Genomic DNA, 26,009 nt, shown 5'->3' with positions numbered 1-26,009 from the left:
CCAAATATGGATTGAGTCCAGGAGGCCAGGCACAGACCAGACATATGGTAAGATATGTTGGGGAAATATAACCAAAAACTATATCTTCTCCTAACCCAGAAATCCTCCCCACAAAAGTAATAGAAAACAAAAACACTTTGAGAATTGAATAAGCATTAAACCAGAATGTAGCGCACATTGCAGGCAATCTGCTGAGAGATTGCAAAGACAGAAAGAAATCTCATCCCTTTATATAGTCAAGTAGGTATAACCCATACATACGTTTTCAAGATCAACAATAACTAGTTGTCAAGTAAGAGGACTAGACAGAATTATTTGCCTGTGTTAGCTAATTGGCTTTACTCAGAAGAAGAACAAACGTCCACTTTTTTGTTTTTGTTTTTGTTTGTTTGTTTGTTTGTGTTTTGAGACGGAGTCTTGCTCTGTCGCCCAGGCTGGAGTGCAGTGGCTCGATCTCAGCTCACTGCTACCTCTGCCTCCCAGGTCCTGGTTCAAGCAATTCTCCCACCTCAGCCTCCCGAGTAGCTGGGATTACAGGCACATGCCATCATTCCCAGCTAATTTTTGTATTTTCAGTAGAGACGGAGTTTTACCATGTTGGCCAGGCTGGTCTTGAATTCCTGACCTCATGATCCACCCACCTCGGCCTCCTGAAGTGCTGGGATTACAGACGTGAGCCACCGCGCCTGGCCAACGTCCCCTATCTTTATGAGAGAAGGTGGTTTTGCAACTTGGAGCAAGGTGCCCACTGAGGTTAGGCCCCTCACTTCCCTCGGAAACTGGGACCTAGGTTTACTACCTCCCTTAATGCTTACATTGCAAAGAGATGGCCTCCTGATCCTTGAGAAAGACATTCCTAGGTTATAAAGCTGGGAAATGCCAATCTAGACTTCGAAAGGGTTTATATACATTTCAAAGAGAGAAGAAAGTATTTACAATGACAAGGTTTCTGAAGTAAATGCTCCAAGAAAAAGGAGGGGAGAGAAATCTCCTATTTTTAACAAGGAGACTTAAGCCTCTTATTTTTTAATTCATGTTTGGCCTTAAAGTACACAATAACTGCTTCTTAAGATGATGCATACAAAATAAATCACGTCTGGTTCCAGCTCTCGATCTGGAGACTTAGGCTCTGGGATGAGCAAAGGTGAGGATGAAACTGAAGGCTCCAACCCTGCCCCCCTCCCCGCCACCTCTGGCTCCCACAGTGGATGCCACTCAGCATTTCTTTTCCTTTCCGATCCAACCTTTTCTGTCTCCGACTCATTTTTATTCACAAGGAGGCAGCTCCTAGGAAACCACTCTTGTTTCCCCCACTGCTAGCTCCAGGGCTTTAATTTTTGTTGGGGTCACTGCACTCCTTCAGAAGCCCCAGCAACGTCCTTAACTGACCCTTTCCCTCTGGAGGCCCCCGGGTTCCGGGAGGACACAAGACTCCCCACTGTGCCGGGCATTGTTTTGGTTCCAGGAGCCACCCCGTGCACTGGTCACTTATTAGATCCAAACCCGGTCATGGCCTGCACCCTCTTTCCTGGGCTGATTCCCCTATTGTTCTGTCGAAAAGAGGCATCTGTAAGCTGCCTGGTCCAATTACTGCGGTTTTTTTTTTCTAAAATGCTACCAATTTCTAAATATTTTTAACCGAAATTGGGTGGCTTCCCTTTCTAATTAATTCAAGTGGCTTCTTCCCTGATGGTGGTGGCTATAATTATAATCACTTAACTCCCAGAGGACTGTTTAAAACTTGAGGATGTGCAAGGTGACTTTTTAAAAATCACCCTTTGTTTACCTGGATTTGGTTTCCGGGGAAGAGAAAGCATTTGCACAAAAAACGTATTATTTTACACTGTTGCTCAGAGAACCACATGTGTTGGCTCCATTCATTTCAGCCCTGTGGAGAGCTGGGGCCGGTGAGTGTGTGTTTGGTGGTGTGTGACACCGTAGGAGGAGGGAGATGATGATACTGTCATTATTTAAAATCACTTCCACCCACTGGGCTGAGTCACTGGAACGTCACTGCATGGAATTTTGTATCAGTCCCAAAAATATACCTCTGCGAAGCTTTCTGCTCTCTCTAGCGTGCCTATTCCCTCACTCAGGCCCTCCTTAAAAGGAAGTCTGCGTGCATCTTCTATACTGAGTGCCTAGATTCTTTGCCTGCATCGTCCTGACCACGGTGATGCAGCACGTCTGTGCAACACTCGGCATTGCCAACCTGAGCTCTGAAAGGGGCAGTGTGAGTATCCCCACGTTACATGCAAACAAAACCCCTGAACATCCTAGGAGGCTAAGGATTTGACCCAAGCTAAGGAGAGAAGCCTGGGCTAGAAGCCAGTTTCCTGCCTCCTGGCCTAATCCCGAAGCAACAGGAGAGGAAAAAGGACTTTGGGTCTGAAAATATGGACCTCTGGGAAAATACCCCAGCAGGAGACAAAAACCCACTTTGGCTGAAAAGATTCTACCTTCCATTCAATTTCAGATTTCAGAACAAATCAGACCATTTCCCTTTTTTCCCCCTTGTATTTCAGATCATGATACATATTCTCTCCCTGCTCCTCAAAATCTAAAACAAGAGTCTTCCTATAAGGGCTTGGCTGGTTTCCAGAACTCAAATAACCGTTCGTAAGGAAAAGAGTGGCTTTCCAGGCATTAGGCAGTATGGCCTGGCCTAGTGGTTCTAAGAACACAGCTTTGGGGCCAGACAGGGCTGAGGAAGGTGACTTCGGGCAGGCCACAGTGATACTGCATCTAGTTTCTTCTGTGATGTGTTACCATCACAGCATTGTTACGACAATTAAATGATGACTGTAAAGCGCTTCTTAGCATGGAGCCTGCCACTTAGCAAACCTTCTAGAAATGTGGGTGATAGCGATATTATGAATTTTTAATAATTATCATGCCACATATCTGGTAGATACTGGATACTGTAAGTAATTACTCTTGTCTCACTTTTTAGGCAGCTTCTATAATGGCAGTCTTAAGATTTCCTCTGTAAAAGAATTTTAAGCATGTATCTTAAACTCAACGTCTAACCAAGCTACCAAAACAAATCTGTAATGGAAATGTTTGCTTTACATTTATCATGTGGGTGACTGGAGCCCCCTGCTGTCAGGGAAGCCCTAATTACCTGTTTTGGGGAGGTTTTGTTTTGTTATTTTGTTTTTTAAATCCAGTTTCCAGATAAATTCTTGAGCACCTTCTAGGAAGAGTCCTGGCGAGGTTCGGGAGGATTGGTTAACCCACCAGGACATAACCCAACAGGTCTCACACCACCAAGGACATGAGAAAACCTGCCCACTCCATAGTTACAGGGCATCCTCTCCAACAGCAGGGTATGTTGGGATTTCTTGACACTTTTTGAGTATTCTAGAGTCCCCCTTCCCAAATAAGAACCTCCATCCTCCTCACAAAGTGATTGGAATCCTCTTGCTGCCCTCTGTACAAAATGCGTCCTGGGGTTCTTTGCTATGTGGAAAGAACCAGAATGACCATGGCAGTCATCTCATTGTAACCCTCTGTTCTGCTCTAAGGAGGGTGGGGCCTGCAAGCCTCCCCCAGCTCCTATCCTTCCCAGGTAAGTACTAATCGCAGGCTGCAGAGGGATCTAGTCACATGCTACCAGCAAGGGTTGCAGCAGAGATGTGCCATCTGTGAAAAGGTGGCCTGCGTAGGGTTCAGCCCAGCAACACCACTGCTGATGAGCCACTCAGATGAAAAGCCTGGTTAGATCATTGGGACCAGTTATCATCATAGCATAACAACAATAAACAGACATTTACATAGCACTTACTCTGTGCCAGGTGTGGTTCTAAGCACATTACATTGATTAACTCTTGAGTTCTGTCCTCAGGCCCCAGAATGGAGAGCATCTGAACTCCTTCCAGATCCTGGGGTGAGGAAGCATGCCAGGTAAGAGGAGGAAGGAAAGGAGAGAGCTTTCTCTGTTCTGGAACATCTGCAGGCTTCAAGCCCTCCCCACCTCCTTGGAGACGTTCCTGCATCACAGCAATTAAGCTTTTCTCCTACTTCCAAATTCAGGCGTCTCCAAAATATTTTTTAGTGCAATGACTGGGATCCCTCCCCAACATCTTCACCAGACCACCAGGTGACCCTGGGGTGGCATTTGCCTTCTGTGAGCCTCACCGCTTTCTAGATCATCATCAGCATCTCTAACTGGAGCTGCCTTCCCAGCCTCTGGCCCCAGTAGGACATAAAGATCCTCAATCTGGCCGGGCACAGTGGCTCAAGCCTGTAATCCCAGCACTTTGGGAGGCTGAGGTGGGCGTATCACCTGAGATTGGGAGTTTGAGACCAGCCTGACCAACATAAAGAAACCCTATCTCTACCAAAAATACAAAATTAGCCGGGCGTGGTGGTGCATGCCTGTAATCTCAGCTACTTGGGAGGCTGAGGCAGGAGAATCGCTTCAACCTGGGAGGTGGAGTTTGCAGTGAGCCGAGATCACGCCATTGCACTCCGGCCTGGGCAACAAGAGCAAAACTCCACCAAAAAAAAAAAAAAAATCCTCAATCCACAAGGAAAGGATCAAAATGGACCTTGGGGCTGAAGGATGAACCATCTTTTGAGTCCTTTCAATACTGCTAGGAAAACACCCATGAGCTTCTCCAGAGTTAAAATATTTTCTTTTCTCTGTAACTCCTACAGCTAACAATGACCCCCACACAGCAGGCGCTCAGTAGATGTCTATTGAGGAATGACTGACATGATCATCCCACTCAGCACACTCAGATCTCCCTTCGAGAACACCAAGGTTTGGTATGTAGTTGATGAGCAGCTGGTGGGCATTTCTAACTAGAACACGGTACAAATAATTAAGTAAATGTTAACTGAGCAGAGAGATTGTGAAAAACAAATACATTAACATGGTGGAATTATTCAATCCTTTGCCCATCTGCTAAGAACAGTTTGAGTCCATGTATGGATGATAAAGGCAGAAATGGGCTGTCCTTCAGAATCCCTGTTCATTCAAAGATTTTATACCAGGTCAAAATTTCAGAGGCACTACAGGTGGAGTCAATATTAGACAACAGGAGAAGAAATTCAGTTCTATCCGTTGTTCCCGTCAAACCTGCAGAATTCCCCAGTGTGGCCTCCTCCCAGCCTTCAACCCACCTTCTGCAGCCAGACGCCCTGCTGCACCACCATACCAACCAGGGGAAAGACCCAACGTGACAAAATGCAAAGGGAGAGATGGACCAACGTAGAGAGCAGCAGGATTTCCTGCTAAATCTGTTCCTCCACAAGAGAAGAACAAAAATTACCCACAGCCACATCCGCATAGATAACAGAGATGCCATATCAACACACAGCAAGGAGAAGGGGCTACAGAAGCCAACCGAAGTGGTACACTTTTTAAAGGATTGATGATAAATATATACTTTTGATGACATACTCTTTTACCAAGATTTTAAAATGCAAACTTTGGTTTCCTTTTATCTTCAACAGCAAATATATACATATACATATATACATGGCAGATATTCAATGTTGCTGTTGCCTCTGGAAGGAGAAATATCACGAACGGAAATGTGCCAGAAGGACGGGGAGTGGTGGCTGCAACCCCAGCATTTTGGGAGGCTGAGGTAGGAGGATTGCTTGAGCCCAGAAGTTCAAGACCAGACTGGGGAACATAGTGAGACCCTGTCTCTATTAAAAACTAGCCTGATGTGGTGGTGTGTGCTTGTGGTTCCAGCTACTCGGGAGGCTGAGGTAGGAGTATCGCTTGAGCTCCGGAGGTCCAGGCTGCAGTAAGCCAAGATCGGGCCACTACACTGGCACCTTGGTGACAGAGAGAGACTGTCTCAAAAGAGAGAGACAGAGAGAGAGAAATGTGCCAGAGATGGAGTACAAAAGAAGTAAAACAAAATTCGATTGCCTAGTGCCTGAGGGAATGGCGTCTGAATTTTCAGGCTTCTCCAGAAATTCCTACACATCAGCTGCATGATATGCAGGTGACTTTAAAGTTGTCTACTACAGCATAGAATAAACCCAGAGGCAAGTTGGGACCTCTGACAACCAACAGTATAGGATGTGGCATCAGTTAGCCAGCCATTCAGAGGGAAGTCAACCAAGAGGCATTTTTCTAAGCTTCCCTTGCCCAAAGCAGGGCCCTCCTCAGTCTGGCTGCCCATCAGCTCTGGAAACCTGGTCTCCTCCTAATTTCCCCTTGCCCGCTCCATTCCAGCCACACCAATATAAACTGTTTTCATCCATGCCCGGAGGTCTCCTGCCTTTAGTATTTGTACTTGCTCTTCCCTCTGCCCCAGAGCTCCTATCCCAGGTATCTTCGTGGCTTCCTCCTTATCTCCTTTGCTCAGATCTCTCACTTTCTCAGGAACCCTGACATCCTATTCAAAATGACAGTCCCTCCCCCAGCGTCTTCCAGGGCTTCGTGATTCTCTCTCTCTCTCTTTCTTTTGCTTTATTTGTTTGTTAGTTGCCTTGCCCCTCTAGACTATAGACTCCTTGATGGCAGGATTTCTTTCTGTTTCATACACTGCTATATCCCTAGCACCTAGACCCTAGCACACAGAAGCTCTGAAACTATTTTCTTAATGACTGGAGAAAATGAAAGTTATTTATCGGATTTGAAAATGGCTTTGCCTTTTTGACAGATCACAAAGGGGCAAAATTTAAAAGTTTTAAAATGTTATTTGTGATTTTACTCATGTCCTCCTCTAAATATTAAGACTGTGAATGTTCATGACAAGCATCTCTAAAAAGGCTAGAGTTTCACTATGGGAGGCCAACGCCGGTGGATCACTTGAGTTCAGGAGTTCAAGACCAGCCTGGCCCAACACGGTGAAACCCCGTCTCTACTAAAAATACAAAAATTAGCTGGGCGTGGTGGCGGGTGCCTGTAATCCCAGCTACTTGGGAAGCTGAGGCAGGAGAATCTCTTGAACCAGGGTGGTGGAGGTTGCAGTGAGCCGAGATCACCCCACTGCACTCCAGCCTGGGCAACGGAGTGAGACTCTGTCTCAAAAATATATATAATAACATAAAATAAAAATAAATAAAAAGGCTAGAGTTTGAAACCGGATACAAGGATTAAAATATTCCTCAACACCGTTTTCTTTCTGTTTTTCTTCTTCTATCTGCCACATCCTCTGTCACCACCACCATAGCCTTCCCCCACCCCACCCCTGTTCTCCACTACAACGTATACACACACATCCTCTTAGCTTTCTTCCCATTTAAGCATCTAGAATATTCTGCAAATTGAAAGACGTTATGGTAGAGAAAAAAAAAAAGAGGTGTCTATTGGCCGGACGCAGTGGCTCATGCCTATAATCCCAGCACTTTGGGAAGCCGAGGTGGGCAGATCACCTGAGGTCAAGAGTTTGAGACCAGCTTGGCCAACATGGTGAAACTCTATATCTACTAAAACTACAAAAATTAGCCGGGCATGGTGGCAGGCACCTGTAATCCCAGCTACTTGGGAGTCTGAGGCAGGAGAACTGCTTGAAACCGGGAGGCAGAGGTTTCAGTGAGCCAAGATCGTGCCACTGCACTCCATCCTGGGCAACAGAGTGAGACTCCACCTCAAAACAAAAACAAAAACAAAACCCTCAAAAATAGGTCAATTTTTAGTTTCAAAAGCTTAGGCCCAGAGAAAATTCAGAGCACAGAAAAATTATGATGAGTATGAGTCAGATTTCTATACTCTCAGACAACAAAGAGATTTCCCAGGCTGTTGGAAGTAGAGACTGGGAGGGCAGCAGGGATGAAGGGAGAAAGGGAGAGGTTAATGGAGCCCAAGACAAGGAGACCTTATTCCTGAAAGATCCATGGGTTCAGGAGCTAACTCAGCAGCCTCATTCTCCATCCTGGTGGGCACCAAACACCACCAGAGCAGAGGAGCTTTCTGAAGGTCGTTCCCACTGACTTCTTGTTACAATGCTTTTGGCTGCAAGTAACACTTCTGTCTAAAGACAGCTTAACAGAGACACTTATCTCATAAGAAGTTGTGAAAAAGAGGTCTTAAGGTTGGTTCAGCAGCTTACTGCCATCAAGAACCCAGGCTCTAGCTCCTGCTGTCTCAGAGGGATGAGCTTTCTCCTAGGCTGTTACCTCATGGATGCAAGTGGCTGCCACAGCTCCAAGCATCACACCCTCATGTAACTTCATCCACAGACAGAACCCCAGAAGGCAGAGAAGGAGTGCTATTCTTGTGCATCTTTCCTTTTAGCAAGGAGGAAAATCTTTCCTAGAAACTCTCAACTGATTTCCCCTTACATCTCATTGGTTAGAACTGGGTCACATGTGCCCTCCCCTAGCTGCAATAGAGCCTAGGAATATCTGGCATATTCTATCTCTATAGGGGAAAGTGATGAATGGAAAAGGAATATGGAGTTACTCTGTAGCTCATCCACAGGGATGAATGGAAAAGGAATATGGAGCTACTCTGTTAAGGAGAAAACCATCAGTATATGCCACGACCTCTCTGATAGGTTGTCTGTCATCCACTAGCCGTCCTCCAAGAGTGGCACCTGCCTGCGCCCAAGACTTGGTCCCTTTCTACTTACTTTTAATGTTGCAGGACATGCATAAAGCCTCTCTGAGGAGAAGAGGTCCCTAGAACCCATCAGGGCGATAGCATGGGGAAGGGAAACATCTCACACTTGCCCTTGGACACGATTAGCTGGAGGATTTGCTCTGGATTCAACTCTTTGCTACTCCTCAAGCCAAGACAGTGGGGCACTCTACAGCCCCCATCATACAAGCAAACAATCATACTAGAATATCAAAGGCTCATAGCCACTTCAGGCCCTGCCACCAGAATGATCACTAGCAAAATACCATATAAAGTGTGAATTTAGAACTGATTTCCCCATCGCAAGTCTACGTAGAATAGCCCAAGAAACACTGCAGATTGGAAATAGAACTTGATTCTGAGAATGCTGGTAGGTGGAATTTAGTTCAGTAGTAAATAAGGCAAAGCTGGTTGTTGCTTTTCTATTTAAGACTTGCTGTTTCTTAGAGCTAAGTCAGCAGGCACCCTGCTTCTATAGATAAATATAGATTTAAATAACAGGATCATCTATAACTTGTTCCATTTCCTTTTCTATTAAAAGGAAATAGCCTGAACACTTGCATTAAAATTAAGAGTGGGTAATCAGACACACTAAATAAGAATGTGCTAGATAAGTGAAAACAGATTACCAAATAGGACATTTTAAAAAAATCACAACTATTATATATATATATATACACACACACACACACACACTATATATATATTTACACACACACACATACTACATACATACATAATGTAATGCATTATAAAAATAACATAATTATGTGGGATTATGGATTATTTGAATTGTTCTCTTTTGCGGGAAATAGAAATGACAGAGAACTAAATTAATTAGGCATTAGCCATATTGAAGCGAGATTGTCTCAGTGCCTCATTCACTCCGTCACACTGAGACTTCTCCAGGCTCTGATTAAGAGCCCTGTACTGCAGCACATGCTTCAACTGCTAATGTGGTCCAGCTTCAAGGGCGGATGGGTAAGGTGAGGTGCTTGGAATCAGGGAAAGAAGAGAAGAGACAGTTACGTTTCCATGTTTAAAGGTATGTGGTGTGTTCAGCTCAGAAACTTCTCTTATTGAACATATTCCATGTGATTAATACAATTCACTAGGTTTACATGGATAAATATAACTGCATCATTGCACAGCAAAGACAATATATGCCTTATCCTAGAAAACATGACTTCAGAAAATCCACCTTCTAAATTCCTCCATCTAGATTAACATGACTTCTAAGGGTGAGGGGGTGGGAGGGGCATGGATGATGAGAAGGTACTTAATGGGTATGATGTGCATTATTTGGGTAATGGATACCCTAAAAGCCCTGATGGCACCACTACACAATTTATGCTTGTAACAAAATTGCATTTGTAACCCATACATTTATACAAATAATAAAATAAAAGGGGGGAATCATGCATAAATAAAAATAAAGGATCCATTTGGAAGTAACAGTTTGAATATAAAAGTAAATTTTATTTATTTATTTTTTATTTGAGACAGAGTCTCACTGTGTTGCCCGGGCTGGAGTACAGTGGCATGATCTTGGCTCACTGCAACCTCCACCTCCTGGGTTCAAGCAATTCTCATGCCTCAGCCTCCCCAGTAGCTGGGATTACAGGTGCACACCACCATGCCCGGCTAATTTTTTCTATTTTTAATAGAGACGGGGTTTCACTGTGTTGGCCAGGCTGGCCTCGAACTCCTGGCCTTAAGTTACCCACCAGCCTGGACCTCCCAAAGTGTTGGGATTACAGGCATGAGCCACCGCGCCCAGCCTAAAAGTAAATTTTAAAAAGGTAAATGGAAGGCAAAAGAAGGCATCCGTTCTTTAAGAAATGATAATAGTATGACTTCTGGGTTCTTTATTGGCAAATCTGAAATACTCATGATTCTAAATGCATCTCTTTGATATTTTGCAATAGGAAATCTAGGCCAAAAGAAATTCTTGACTGATCATCTAGTTGCTGGCTAGTTTCCTCATTAAGTTAAAAAGAATGTAAAAAAAAAAAAAATGGTGCACTTTGGAACCCAGAAGAAGTCTCTTAAATGCCTCACTTTGAGAGATTCTTTGACTGTGCTAATGAGCCCAGGTAAGGAGCAGAAAAGTTCATCCATCAACATCTACAGTCTCTCCTAGTTCTGCTTTTCGAAGGGGAACTTAATGAGAAAATGGCAAGAATGAACAAGAATAAAACTGCAGTGCTTGTTTTTTTTTCAGTGTTTGATTATTCAGGATAATGTACACTACAACTACACGAAAGAACAGATTCAGTCTTGTTTAGCCACCTCGCAAAGTCAAGCAGAAAGTGGTTTGTCTGTGAGTTTCAAAATTTCGTGGCCACAGCCCACAGCAAGAAATACATTTTACATTGCAAGGTTTTGCAAAACAATATTTCCTCTTACGGCTTGCATAGCACAATAATGCTTTTTATTTTATCCTATTCTGTTCTACTCTGGGTCTTACTCCCTCCTTCCCTCCTTCACTTGCTTTTGTTTTGTTTTGTTTTGTTTTGTTTTTCATGAAATGCAGTGGCTCGATCCTAGCTCACTGCGGCCTCGAACTCCTGGGCTCAAACAATCCTCCCATCTCACCCTCTGAGTAACTCAGACCACAGGGACACACCACTATGCCAGCCTACATTTTTATTTTTAATTTTGCAGAAACAGAGTCTCCCTGTATTTCCCAGGCTGGTCTCAGACTCCTGGCCTCAAGTGATCCTCCCGCCTTGGCCTCCATGAGGTGGTGAGCCACCATGCCTGGTCTCTTTCTTTTTTTTCTTTTCTTTTTCGTTAAGAAAGTACTGACGGAAACTCCATATGCTGGTTTCACAAACTCCTAATAAATCTTAGTCTTCAACTTAAAAAACACTGGATTAAATGGTAATTATAAATTAATAAGGATTAATACAAAGGATATTTTTAAGTCAGTTATAATAATTGAATTGTGCTAAGGAGAATAAAACAAATTTCCATGTTATAGAGTATATTATAATAGCAGGCTTTGTAATATTTTATTCCTTCTTTCTTTACTTAAGAAAAAAAGTTTTGATTAAGAAAATAATACTACACTCAAATAGAGTCTCACTATAAAAAATGCCCACCATAGAGGTCAAGTAGAAGTCCTTGTGGCCCACTCTTCACTCCCACCCTGGGTCCCTTCCCAGCAGAGAGTGCTTTCTAGGCCTTTCCTAGGCATTTACATACACATAGGTCTATTTAGAAAGATGAAGTTTTGCTCTATGTTTTAATAAATAGCTGATGAGAATCAGGATACGCTACCCTGAATTATGGCATCTTGGCACTTGAGAAAACAGCAGGAGCAGGAAGGTCACTCTCACCTTCCTCCACCCTTCTCCCATGAAGCAGGCCATAAAACCTAGGAAGGATTTTCTGACCTCCCCCTGAAGTAGGACACAAAAGAGATGCCCTCCCTATACCCAGAGGAAAGGAACGTTCTCATCCCTGAAGACAAGGGGACACAGAAATGAATCTGAACAGGGCTTGCTGGATTTCCCCCAGTTCATTACCATTAGGTCTGTTGCAGGAATTATGTAAGAATCAAAGTTCAATTCCTTACACTCTATATGTTAATAACTTCAACATCATTGGTGGCCTATGGCTGTTGCAGTTGGAAGTTATTAATTTGATCTCTTATGTATAAACATACCCCATTTTATTGTACTTCATTTTATTGTGCTGTGCAAATATTGTGATTTTAATAAATTGGGGGTGTGTGAAAACCCTGCATTGATCAAGTCCATTTTCCAACAGCACGTGCTTACTTCACGTCTCTGTGTCACATTTTGGTAATTCTCACAATATTTCAAACTTTTTCATATAATTATATCTATCATGGTGATCTGTGATCAGTGATCTTTGATGTTGTTGTTGTAATTGTTTTGGGGTGCCACAAACTGCACCCTATAAGATGGCAAACTTAATTGATCAACGTTGTATGTTCTGACTACTCCACCAACCAGCTGTTTCCCCATCCCTCTTCCCCTGCTCCGGCCTCCCTATTCCCTGAGGCACAATATTAAAATTACATCAGTTAGTAACCCTACAATAAGGGTTACTAACTTATAAGCCTACAAGTGTTCAAGTGAAAGGAAAAGTTGCACATCTCTCACTTTAAATCAAAAGCCAGAAATGATTGAGCTTAGTGACAAAGGTATGTTGAAGCTGAAAGCAAGGCCTCTTGCATCAGTTAGCCAAGTTGGGAATGCAAAAGAAGTTTTTTAAAAAATTTAAGGTGCTACTCCAGTGAATACATGAATAATAAGAAAGGAAACCAGGCTGATCTAAGTATGCTCATGCTTATAACTAATTACTTAAAACCAGTTATTCTTTGTTCCTTCTCCACTCCCACTGCTTCACTTCACATAAGAGAAATGTGGGGGTCGGGAAGGGAGGGAGGGAGAAAAGAAGGAAGGAGTGAAGGAAGGAAGGGAGGGAGGGAGGGAGGGGGAAGGGAGGGAAGGTGGGAGGGAAGGAAGGGAGCCTTATTGCTCATATGGAGAAAGTTTGAGGGGTCTGGATAAAGATCAAACCAGCCACAACATTCCCTTAAGCCAAAGCCTGATCCAGGGCAAAGTCCTAACTCTCTTCAATTCTATGAAGTTGAGAGAGGTAAGGAAACTGCAGAAGAAAAGTTGGAAGCCAGCAAAGGTTGGTTCATGGGGTATAAGGAAAGAAGCCATCTTCATAATGTAAAAGTGCAAGGTGAAGTAGCAAGTGCTGATAGAGAAACTGCAGCAAGTTATCCAGAAAATCTAGCTAAGATCATTGATGAGGGTGGCTACACTAAACAACAGATTTTTCAGTGTAGACAACATGGCCTTCTATTGGAAGAGGATGCCATCTAGAACTTTCATAGCTAGACAGAAGAAGACAATGTCTGGCTTCAAAGCTTCAAAGGACAGGCTGACCTACTTGTTAGGGGCTAATGCAGCTGTTGACTTTAAGATGAAGTCAATGCTCATTTATTATTCCAAAAATCCTAGAGTCCTTAAGAACTATGCTAAATCAAAGAGCCAGGCACAGTGGTGCATGCCTGTAATTCTAGCTACTGTAATTGCAACTACCTGAGAGGCTGAGGTGGGAGGATTGCTTGAGCCCAAGAGTTCAAGACCAACCTAGGCAACATAGCAAGACTACATGTCAAAAAAAAATACACACACACACACACACACACACACACACACATATATATATATACACACACACACATATATGTATTATATAGGCTGGGCACAGTGGCTTATACCTGTAATCTCAGCACTTTGGGATGCTGAGGCAGGAGGATCACTTGAGGCCAGATATTTAAGACCAGCCTGGGCAACATAACAAGACCCTATGTCTGCAAAAATTTTTTTAAAAAAACAATTAGCTTGGCATGGTGGCACACACCTGTAGTCCTAGCTACTTAGGAGGCTGAGGAGGGAGGCTTCCTTGAGACTAGGAGTTTGAGGTTGCAGTGAGCTTTGATCACACCACTGCACCCCAGCCTGGGCGACACAGTGAGATCTTGTCTCAAAAATAAATAAATAATTTAAAAAATTATGCTAAATTATTTCTGCCTGTGCTCCACAAATGGAACAAAAATTGGATGACAGCACATCTGTTTACACCATTGTTTACTGAATATTTTAAGCCCCCTGTTGAGACCTACTGCTCAGAAAAAAAAATTCCTTTCAAAATATTACTGTTTATTGACAATGCATCTGGTCACCCAAGAGCTCTGATGGGCATGTACAAGGAGATTAAATGTTGTTTTTGTGCCTACTAATACAATATCCATTCTGCAGCCCATGGATCAAGGAGTAATTTCAACTTTCTAGTCTTATTATTTAAGAAATACATTTTGTAAGACTACAGCTGCCATAGAGAGTGATGCATCTGATGGATCTGGGCCAAGTAAATTGAAAACTTTCTGGAAAGGATTTACCATGCTAGATGCCATTAAGAACATTTGTGATTCATGGAAGGAGTTCAAAATACCAAGTCCAGGTGTGGTGGCTCATGCCTGTAATCCCAGCACATTGGGAGGCCAAGGCGGGGGGATCACTTGAGCCAGGAGCTCAAGACTAGCCTGGCCAACATGGTGAAACCCCATCTTTACAAAAAAACACAAAAATTAGCTGGGCATGATGGCGTGAGCCTGTAGTCCCAGCTATTTGTGGGGCTGAGGTGGGAGGATTGCTTGAGCCTGGGAGGTGGAGGTTGCAGTGAGCTGAAATCACACCACTGCACTCCAGCCTGGGTGACAGAGTGAGACCCTGTCTCAAAAAAGAAAAAAGAATATCAACATTAACAGGAGTTTGAAAGAAATTGATTCTAACCCTCATGGGTGACTTTGAGGGGTTCAAGACTTCAGTGGAGGAAGTAACTATAGATGTAGTAGAAATTGCAAGAGAACTAGCATTAGATAGAAGTAAAGCCTGAAGATGTGACTGAATTGCTGCAATCTTATGACCAAACTTGAACGGATGAGGAGTTGCTTCTTATGGTTGAGTAGAGAAAGTGTTTCTTATGATGGAATCTACTCCTGGTGAAGATGCTGTGAACAATGTTGAAATGACAACAAAGGATTTAGAATATTACATAACTTAGTTGATAAAACAGCAGCAGGCTTTGACTCCAATTTTGAAAGACTGTCTACTATGGATATAATGCTATCAAATAGCATCACATGCTACGGAAATCTTTTGTGAAGGAAAGAGTCAATGTGGCCAATTTCATTGTTCTCTTATTTTAATAAATTGCCACAGCCACCCCAGCCTTCAGCAACTACCATCCTGATTGGTCAGTAGCCACCAACACTTCAACACTGAGCCAAGACCCTCCATCAGCAAAAAGATTATGACTCACTGAAGGCTCGGATGATGGTTAGTATTTTTTAGCAATAAAGTATTTTTAAATTAAGGTGCGTACTTTTTAAAGACATAATGCTATTGCAGACTTTAAGTCTTTTAAAGACTATGTAAACATAACTTTTTTTTTTTTTTTTTTTTTTTTGAGACGGAGTCTCGCTCTGTCGCCCAGGCTGGAGTGCAGTGGCGGGATCTCGGCTCACTGCAAGCTCCGCCTCCCGGGTTCACGCCATTCTCCTGCCTCAGCCTCCCAAGTAGCTGGGACTACAGGCGCCCGCCACTACGCCCGGCTAATTTTTTGTATTTTTAGTAGAGACGGGGTTTCACCGTTTTAGCCGGGATGGTCTCGATCTCCTGACCTCGTGATCCGCCCGCCTCGGCCTCCCAAAGTGCTGGGATTACAGGCGTGAGCCACCGCGCCCGGCCAACATAACTTTTATATGCACTGGGGAACCAAAAAATTCATGTGACTCACTTTATTGCAGTGGTCTGGAACCAAACCCATAATATTTCTGAGGTATGCCTATATAGGATTTGTAAAGGTGGTAAAGCAGTTAGGATTAAAATATCAGTAGGGTAGTTCATGCAGTTTTTACTTCTTGAGTATCTACAGTACTCATGTGGGCTAGTTTAGTTGTTACTATTAATGAAATGATACAAAGGACTGAAGAGCTAATTAAGAAAATGATGATTAAAGTGTAATCATGGAAGTGTAGAAGTTCTATCACAGGTGATGTTGCATCTTGAAAGCCTAATTGGAATGGGTATGCCATAAAGATATAAAGAATTTTAACCTATAAATTAACTTTGCCAAAGTTATGTAATTATTTTTCCTAATGTCTTACTTGTTGAAAAAGTCATAATTGTGATGAAATCGGCTTGAAACCAGTTAAGAAGTACGTTTCCTTCCTTCTTTCCTTCCTTCCTTCCTTCCTTTTTCTTTCGTTTCTTTTTTTTTTTTTTTTTGAGTTTTACTCTTGTTGCCCAAGCTGGAGTGCAATGGCGCCATCTCCACTCACTGCAACCTCTGCCTCCCAGATTCAAGCGATTCTCCTGCCTCAGCCTCCAGAGTAGCTGGGATTACAGGCATGCGCCACCATTCCTGGCTAATTTTGTGTATTTTTAGTAGAAACAGGGTTTCACCATGTTAGCCAGTCTGGTCTCAAACTCCTGACCTCAGGTGATCCGCCCGCCTCGGCCTCCCAAAGTGCTGAGATTACAGGCGTGAGCCACTGTGCCAGGCCCCTTTGTTTCTTATTTTAAGCTCTTGCATAAGCAGGCTCTTCAAATGTCTGATATGCTAATGGGCAGCCAGGAGGCCATTCAAGTTGTAGTTGAAAGTTCCACTACTGATAATTCTCGGTACTTTCTTGGCAGTTCTTGGCTTCCTTCCACTACCATGAAAGTCTCTCAGATTGTGAAGATTATTAATATTACTGTCATTGATGAAATATATAAGCCTATCAATGAGATGGAATTGCATGTTTTATATGCATCAGGGTAATTGGAGTAACTCAGAGAATTCTTGATAAATTAAGGAATTATTGTGGAAAGCAAGCTAAATTAATACCTACAAATAAAATGCTAAAATAAATTTTGGCTTGGGTTGAATTGAGTGTGTAACCTGAAAATAGTGGGAATCAGTGAACAAATCCTCTTATAATGGCAAAGGCTGCTCCTATTGATAGAACATAGTGGAAATGTGCTGCCACATAATATGTTTTGTGAAGAGCAATGTCTAGCAATGAGTCAGCTGATGCCATTTCTATGAGGCCTCCAACTGTAAATAAGAAGATAAAGCCTAAAGCTCATAATATAGCTGGAGATCATTTAATGTTACTTCTGCACGGGGTTGCCAGTTGGCTGAACCCTAACTCCTATGGGAATAGCAGTGATTATAGTGGCCGGTGTAAAATATGCTTGAATGTCAATGTCTATCCCTATTGTAAATATACGATGAGCCCATATGATAAAGCCTAGAAAACCAATTAATATCACGGCTCACACCATTCCTATATAACCAAATGGTTCTTTTTCCCCAGGATTATAGGTTATAATATGTGAGATTATTTCAAAGCCAGGGAAGATAAGAATATACACTTCCAGGTGGCAAAAAAATAAGAATAAATGTTGATATAAAATTAGATCTCTTGCAGCTAGATTTTTTTAAAAAGTGATATTAGGGTTTCAGTCTTTTAAGAATATGGCTGTTAGAACAGAGTGGGAGAGAAGAGATAATACAGCTGTGATTAGCATTTATCAGACAAATAGTGGTGCCTGAGATTGGGACACGGCTGGTGGTTTAATGTTAATAATTGTAATAAATTAATAGCTTCTAAGGTTGATGAGACACCTACTAGGTGTAATGAGAAAATGGCAAAATCTACAGAGGCTCCTGCGTGCTCAAGATTTCTGCCTAAAGGTGGCTTATCCTGTGCCAGTGCTGGTTTCCACTGTTGAGGAAGCAGGAGTAGAAATGATGGTGGGAGAAGTCAGAATCATATGTTATTTATTCAGGGAGATGCTACATCAGGGTCTCTGATTAATAAGGGGACTAATCAGTTGCCAAGTCCTCTCACTAAAATAGGCATAACTATTAAAACGATTATTATGGACACAAGAACTGATTAAAGTGTAATCATGGAAGTGTAGAAGTTCTTCTATCATAGGTGATATTACATATTGAAAGCCTAATTGGAATAGGTATGCCATAAAGATATAGTGCTGATGACATTATAAATTTGATTGTCACTTGGCCAGGTGCGGTGGCTCACACCTATAATCCCAGCACTTTGTGAGGCCAAGGCGGGTGGATCATCTGAGGTCAGGAGTTCAAGACCAGCCTACCCAACACGGCAAAACCCTGTCTCAACTAAAACTACAAAAATTAGCCAGATGTGGTGGTGGCGCACACCTGTAGTCCCACCTACTCAGAAGGCTGAGGCAGGAGAATCGCTTGAGCCCAGGGGGCGGAGGTTGCAGTGAGCTGAGATTGCACTACTGCACTCCAGCCTGGGCAACAGAGCGAGGCTCTGTCTATAAATAAATAAATAAATAAATAAATAAATAAATAAATAAATAAATTTGATTGTCACTGAATAGGACTCCTGGTTGACCTAACTCTGCTCAGATTACAAGATTTAGGGCAGTCCCTACTATTCTGGCTCAAACACCACGTAGAAAATTATAGTGTCACTATCCTGTGTTGTTTGTTGAGACTGATGAAGGGTTAACGAGCACAGGTAGAGGATAAAGTAGCTGAATAAGCATTGGATTGTAAATTTAAAGACAGAGGTTGAACCCTCTTTCGACCCTGTCTTGAGGTGAATGTTCACACTGAATTGCCAATTCAAAGGAGCAGCTTCAATTCTGCCCGGGCTTCTTCTGCCTTTTTTCTCTCGACAGCGGGAGAAGTAGATGGAAGCTAACTGATTAGAATGCTTTAGCTGTTAACTAAGTTTTTGTGACGTTGGAGCTCACCAATCTAGTACGGATTTCACTTAATTAAAGTTTTTTTTTTTCATTCAATTGATGTAAGAGTCTTGGAATCCTTATGTTTCAAGAATTAAGTATAGGGTACTTGCTTAGAGCTTTGAAGTCTCTTAGTCTATCTAACCTAAATCGCTAGTTTGATGTTGGAAATATTGGTGAAAGTGGGAGGAAAAGAGCTGATAGTAAAACAAGTGATGGGAGAAAGAATATTTGTTTTATACATATATATTTTAATTTTTTTATTGAGACAGGGTCTCCCTCTGTCACCCAGGCTGGAGTGCAGTGGCATGATCACAGCTCACTGCAGCCTTGATCTCCCAGGATCAAGTGATCCTCCCGCCTCAGTCTCCTTGTAGCTGGGATTACAGGTGCATGCCACCATGCCCAGCTACTTTTTTTTTTTTAATTTTTAGTAGAGATGAAGTCTCACTATGTTACCCAAGCCATTTTATATTTTTCAATTGTCATTTTGTTTTTGTTATTGGTTGTTGAAAATATAGTTAATAATAAAGAATAGTCATACATAAAAATATAAGTTGAGAAATACTATAATAGTTACGAATGGGGGGCAAGAAAAAAAGAAAATAATTATGAATGTTGGCATAATAACATTTTTGAATGTTAATTTACTTGGGTAGAAATCCTGTAAGTAGGGGTAGGCCTCCTAAGAATAATAGTTATAAGGATTATAGAAGTTATTATTGGTAGTTCATTTCATGTGTGCAATAGTGATAGTGTTGTGGTATTTATGTTTTAACTAAATATTATGAATATGGTAATCATTGGAATGATATAACTTAGAAGGTTTATGATTATTGTGGGGGATTATAAATAAGGATAGTTATTATTCAGCCTATATGTGCAACTGGTGAATAAATAGGCTAAGAGTTTTCATGGTTGCGTTTGATTAAATTCTCCTCATCGTCTTATTAGAATAGATAATATGGCAATTATTTGTATTATATTTAGATTAATTGATGGATTAATCGATGATATGATACTGAAAATATAATTGAACTTGGTCCCAGTTTTTGTCATGTTAATAGGATTATGCTCGATATTAGTGAAATTCTTTGTGTTACTTCTGGGACTCAGAAATGGAATGGGGAGAGTCCAAGTTTTATCATTAGTGCTATCTATGGTAACTACCGGGGATGCTGTTTGTTTGGGAATTTTTATGACTGTTAATTGCCCAGAATACAATATGTTAATGATGCTGTCTATCATTAGGGGTATAAATATGGTTGCTTGTGTTAAGAAATATTTGGTAGCTGCTTCTGTGGATCATGGATTTGCTTTTTTCATTAAAATGGGAATCATGGCTAATACATTTATTTCTAATCCCATTTAGATTATTAGTCAATGTGAGCTAAATATTGTGATTGTTTTCCTATGAAGACAGTAAATAGAATGGTAGAAAAAATAGGGGATTAATTAGTATGGAAAGAATATAAACCAATGTTTTTGGGGATATGGGCCTGGTAGCTTATTTAGCTGACCTTACTATAGAATATGGTATATTAGGCAGCACAGAGATTTTTGAATGTTTTTTGTTTTTTTTGAGATGGAGTCTCTCTCTGTCTCCCAGGCTGGAGTGCAGTGGCCAGATCTCGGCCTACTGCAACCTTTGCCTCCCAGGTTCAAGCGATTCTCCTATCTTAGCCTCCAGAGTAGCTGGGATTATAGGCATGTGCCACCACACCCAGCTAATTTTTGTATTGTTGGTAGAGACGGGGTTTCACCATGTTGGCCAGGCTGGTCTCGAACTCCTGACTTCAGGTGATCCACCCGCCTTGGCCTCCCAAAGTGCTGAGATTGCAGGTGGGAGCCACCATGCCCAGCTGATTTTTGAATTCTTTAGAGTAGGTTCAATTCGTAACATTCTGGAAATAAGAGGACTTAAATCTCTATCATTTACTCTCTTTAACTATTTTATCAGACAAATTTCTTATGTGTGTGGTGGAATATGCAGTAGTAAAATAGGTACTGAGATGTGTCATATGCATAAGGCTAATTTGAGTGGTTAGAAATTTTTTCATAGAAGGTACATGAGTTCATCATACTGGAATCATGGGTATAATGCTCAAAGTCAAGAACTGTAAGATAGGAAAATGGTGTTCATGATGAAGTTGAGTATATAAATTTCTGGTATGTGAATATCATGGAGTTCTTCTAGGCAATGGATAATGGTTAGGGCATTTATTATAATGATGTTGGTGTACTCTGCTATATAAAAAAAATAGGACAAATTGGCCTGCAGCATATTGGATGTTAAAGCCTGACACAAGTTTCAACACCTTGTGTCAAGTTGAATGAGGCTCCATTAGTTTTTGCTACTGTTGAAGTAAATCATATTATGGCTAAGGATCATGATGAAAAAAATAGTCGTACATATTCTCAGGTATCAATTAAAGTTGTTAATGTAAATGATTTGCTTATTGAGAGAACTAATAATGGTGGCTGGGATAACTTCATATAAATTTGTTTGTGCTACTGCTCATAGTGCACCAATTAACACACATTTTAAAACTGATGTTCATCCTGATTGAAGGATGGAATATATGGGTAGGCTTCATGTGGTTAAAATGAATAGTGTTCCTATATTCATGTTAATTAGTGGGTACAGTAAGATTAGTAGAATTCACATAGTAAGTGCAAGGGCCAGGGCCAGTGTGGGTGCAATGGCATATGATAGTATAGAAGATGTTGGTGGTCGTAATGGTTCTTTAGTGAATAGTTTTATGGCATTAGTGAAGAAGTGAAGTGGGCCATAGGGGCCTACAGTATTAGGTCCTTTATGAAACTGTATATAATCTAATACTTTTTATTCAGCTGTTAGCAATGCTATTGCAAGGAGAGGGGGGCTAATAGGTAGAAGATTAACTATAAACATGCTGTTAAGAAGGAGTTGAGCTGATTGTAAAGTTTTAAGTTTTATGCAATAACTGGGCTCTGCCATCTTAATAAGCCCTTGTTCTTGGCAGGACATTTAATAGTATATTAGGTTGAGATTATATATAACCTATTAAAATTGAGGAAGTTTTTTGAAATGGGCTCTATTTCTCTTATTCTTTTGTACTAAGAGAAATACTGAATAGGTAGAAATAGATCTGGATTGCTCCGGTCTGAACTCAGACCACATAGGACTTTAATTATTGAACAAACGAACCATTCATTAATAGTAGTTACACCTTTGGAATGTCCTGATCCAACATTGAGGTTGCAAACCCTGTTGTTGATAACAAACTCTAAAATAGGGTTGTGTTGTTATCCCTAGGGTAATTTGTTCCATTGATTAAATTGCTTAGGTTAATAAGCGATTATGTTACTTTGACTGGTCTAGTCTAGATTTTAATCATTTGGATGTTGTGTTGTACTCTGAAGTCACCTCAACCAAAATTTTTAGTCTGGTAGATTAGGTGTTATTCCTTTGAATAGTTAGGTTAAAGTTGTGTTATGTAGACTAATTCATTTACGTTCCATAGGGTCTTCTTGTTTTATTTTAATATCCCTGCCTTTCCGCAGGGGCAGGAAGGTCAATTTCACTAATTGGAAGTAAGAGAAACTTGAACCCTCTTGTGGTCATTCATACAAGTCCCTATTTAGGGAACAAATGATTATGCTACCTTTGCACTGGTCACAATACTGCAGCTGTTAAACATGTGTCACAAGGCAGGTGACATACTAGTCTGATACTAGTTATATGAGAGGTAATGTTTTTGGTAAATAGGCAGGGTTTGTATTTGCTGAGCTCCTTTTAGTTTCTTTAATCTTTCCTTAAGTAGTGCAGTAGTGGATGCCTGTGTAGGATTAACAATTGGTCTTTTTTGTTTTTTAGAGAAAAGGTCCCACTCTGTCACCCAGAATGGAGTGCAAGTGGCATGATCATGGCTCACTGCAACCTCCAACTCTGGGCCCAAGGGATCCTCCTACCTCAGTTTCCCAAGTAGTGAAGACTACAGGCACATGCCACCACACCTGGCTATTTGGCTTATTTTTTGTAAAGATGGGGTCTGGAACTCCTGGCCTCAAACAATCCTCCCACCTTGGACTCCTAAAACATTGGAATTATAGGTGTGAGCCACTGAACCCTGCAATATTTGTTTGGATAAACAGTCAATTGATCGGTTTAATTTATTGAGTTGGTAACTATCAGCTAACATTAGGAATGCTATTGTATCCAATATAAGCTTATGCAACGATACATTTTTTCTTGTTACTTATATAAACAGAATCACCTCTATTTATACATAGGTTAGTCCAGTAAAATATTAGGAGTTTATATAAATAGTTGGAATTAAGATATTGATTGTTGAGCTTGAACCCTTTCTTAATTGGTGGCTGCTTTTAGGCCAATTATGAGAATTTAATAGTTTACATTCTATAAAAGGTTGTTTCCTGTTTCTAAAGTGTTGTCCCTCTTTAGATTAACGTTTAAATTTACATTAAGGTTAAATATTTCTTTAGGTAAATTTAAGGTTGAATTGAAATTCAGCGCTCACCCAGCTCGACTGGCATTTTACCTCTACTCAAGGATATTCTCACAATTTCACCACATGAACAAGTTTGTTCTTGTAACTGTCCATGAGTAGCTCATCTGGTTTTGGGGTTTTTAGCTAAAGTTTTCTTTGTAAAATTGTTCTAGTTAATTCATTATGCAAAAGGCATAAGGGGTAAGCTTTGTTTTTTTTTTTTTTTTCAGTTTATTCTTTCATCTTTCCCTTACAGTACTTTTTCTATAGCATCTAAATAAATTTCTATCATCTCCTATCCTCCCTGTTGTAAATAATGTTTTGGTTAAAATGTGTATGTAGTTGTTAAATTTTGTTAGTTTTAGTTCAAAGTGGTCAGATTAATATGAAATCTTCCAGGCATAAGCCAGGTGCCTTGAGTTAAACTACACTTTGGTTTGTCCAAGCACACCTTCCAGTATTCTTTGTTCTGACATCTCCTCTTATAGATGGGTCTGTGTTAATTATAAACTTGAGTTTATTGAAGCATTTGAGGAAGGTAATGGGCGGTCTATGTGTGCTTCACAACCTTATTCAATTAAGCTCTCTATTCTTAATTTACTACTAAATCCTCCTTTGGCCTGTAGTTTCATAAGGCTTATCATGGGTTGGGTGTACTTTAATCAGACAATGTAAGTCATTTCTTTCCATCTCATAAGCTACATGTTGACCTAATGTTTCCATGTAAGTACTTGTGCTTACTTTATGACCTTTTTAGGGCTTGCTGAAGATGGTAGTATACAGGCTGAATTGACAAGAAATAGTGAGGTTTATCATTGCTTATTAATTATGAACCAGGCTCCTCTAGGGGGGATGGAAACACCATACCACCAAGTCCTTTGAGTTTTAAGCTGTTGCTGATAGTACTCTAGTGAATAACTTTAAGTTTATGGCTAAACATAGTGGGGTATTTAATCCCAGTTTAGGTCTTAGCTATTGTGTATTCAGATCATATTAAAGTCATTTTTGTAGTTTATTTGTATTATCCTAAACACAAACGTGCTTTTCAGATTTTATTAATTTGGGTTTATGACTGTGGTGGCTGACACAAAATTTACTGACCCTAAGGAAAATTAGCATAGTTTAGTCAAACTTTTTGTTTATTGCTTTTTATTATTGCTATTTCCTGTAGGAGTGTGGCTGAGCAAGACGTTAGTTGCTACCAATTAGTGTGCTTGACGCCTGCTCCTTTTGCTCTTTTGCTGATTACACATGCAATGCAGATACTTGCACATGTAATCTTACTAAGAATTAATAGAAGGGCCAGAACCAAACCTGTGTGTTTATGCAGTTACATGAACTCATCTAGGCATTTTCAGTGCCTTACTTTAGTGGACTGAGCTACATCGACTTATATCTAGAAAATTCTGTCCTGGGGAAAAAAACTGCTAAATTATGTGCTATGTTAGCATTGGGGGCTCTTTTGGTAATCTTAGTAAGAAAAAAACTTTTAGCCTAGAAAGCCTAATTTTTAATTGATGTTTGGATTTTTGAAAAATGCTTTAATTAGGAGTTGGGTTAATGCTAGATGAACTTATAACTAAATTTAATAGCATGTGAGTATATATAGGAGCCTTAGTTAGCAGTCAATAGATACAAGGTTTCTTATTTGGGCAGGGTTGGCAAGAATAAAAGACTTACTCAGATACTATAAGAGCTTAAGGAGGGTAGAGGGGTTTACAAAGTTAATCATACATGGCAGGAAGAACTGCTTGTATGTGTCTGTGTCTATATCTTGTTTTTATTACGTCCATTGAGATGAATCAATTAGCACCAAATGATTTTATGTGAGTAAAGAATATTCCATTTAAGCGCAGCTACGATCTAGCTGACTGTGTCAAGGCATTGACAGCCATGTTGGATCACAGCACCCTCCAAAATTAAAAAATACCAAATGCATGACCCCACAGTTCCATGTCATCTTGTGCTAGTTAGTCATTAGTCACTGAGATGTCTTATTTAGGGGGAACAAATGAGTGGTTTCAAATCTATGGCCCTGAAGTAAGAACCAGATGCTAGGTATAGTTTCAAGTCTAGAAGCCCCTAGGTTTTATGGGCCCAAAGCAAGAAGGACATTTCCTGAGTAGGTTGCTGGTTTCTCAAAGCTTGGTGGTAAAGAAATCCTATTGGAAGTGATAAGCATGTTGTTAAGGATTGATGTGACTTGATGTGACTTAATGTGCCATGCACAATCAATGATATTATGTCCTATGTAAAAGAAAGGAATTAATGTACTGGACAATATCCAAGTGTTGAATCTATTTTATGTAATCTTGCAATATAACATGCTGTGCACTCTAATTAGTGCAATTTATGTGCGCATATGCATGGGGAATGGACCTTAATGCACAATAAAACATTTATGTAAAATCAAGCATACATAGCACTAGTACATTATTAATGGGGCAAGGCACGTAATGCAGGTGGAGGGCCTCTTTGGAGGTTAAAAAGAATAAAGAATGTGGAGGAAAATGAAAAGATAGATAGTTCCTCAAATGAGAGGGACATAGGGGTCAGAGAAAAGGGCTGTCTTTTTTTTTTTTTTTGAGACAGGGTCTGGTTCTGTCACCCAGG

At 40.9% G+C, this 26,009-nt stretch overlaps 4 pseudogenes, besides 1 other annotated feature; all 4 read right to left on the bottom strand.

Annotated features, from left to right (window-relative positions):
* Positions 1,319–1,820: an enhancer, noted in NCBI's record as "H3K4me1 hESC enhancer chr8:104117877-104118378 (GRCh37/hg19 assembly coordinates)". NCBI's record gives its function as "activates a minimal SCP1, AML or CMV promoter by ChIP-STARR-seq in primed H9 embryonic stem cells {active_cell/tissue: H9 hESC(primed)}" and the evidence as "EXISTENCE:reporter gene assay evidence [ECO:0000049][PMID:30033119]".
* On the bottom strand, positions 15,960–16,206 carry MTCO2P4 (MT-CO2 pseudogene 4; annotated as a pseudogene).
* Positions 16,798–18,673, bottom strand: MTCO1P4 (MT-CO1 pseudogene 4; annotated as a pseudogene).
* Positions 19,436–20,359, bottom strand: MTND2P10 (MT-ND2 pseudogene 10; annotated as a pseudogene).
* On the bottom strand, positions 20,876–21,802 carry MTND1P5 (MT-ND1 pseudogene 5; annotated as a pseudogene).

This window comes from Homo sapiens, chromosome 8 (assembly GCF_000001405.40).
Source record: "Homo sapiens chromosome 8, GRCh38.p14 Primary Assembly".
NCBI classification, from domain to species: Eukaryota; Metazoa; Chordata; class Mammalia; order Primates; family Hominidae; genus Homo; species Homo sapiens.
This window is presented reverse-complemented; position numbering and strand designations above follow the sequence as displayed.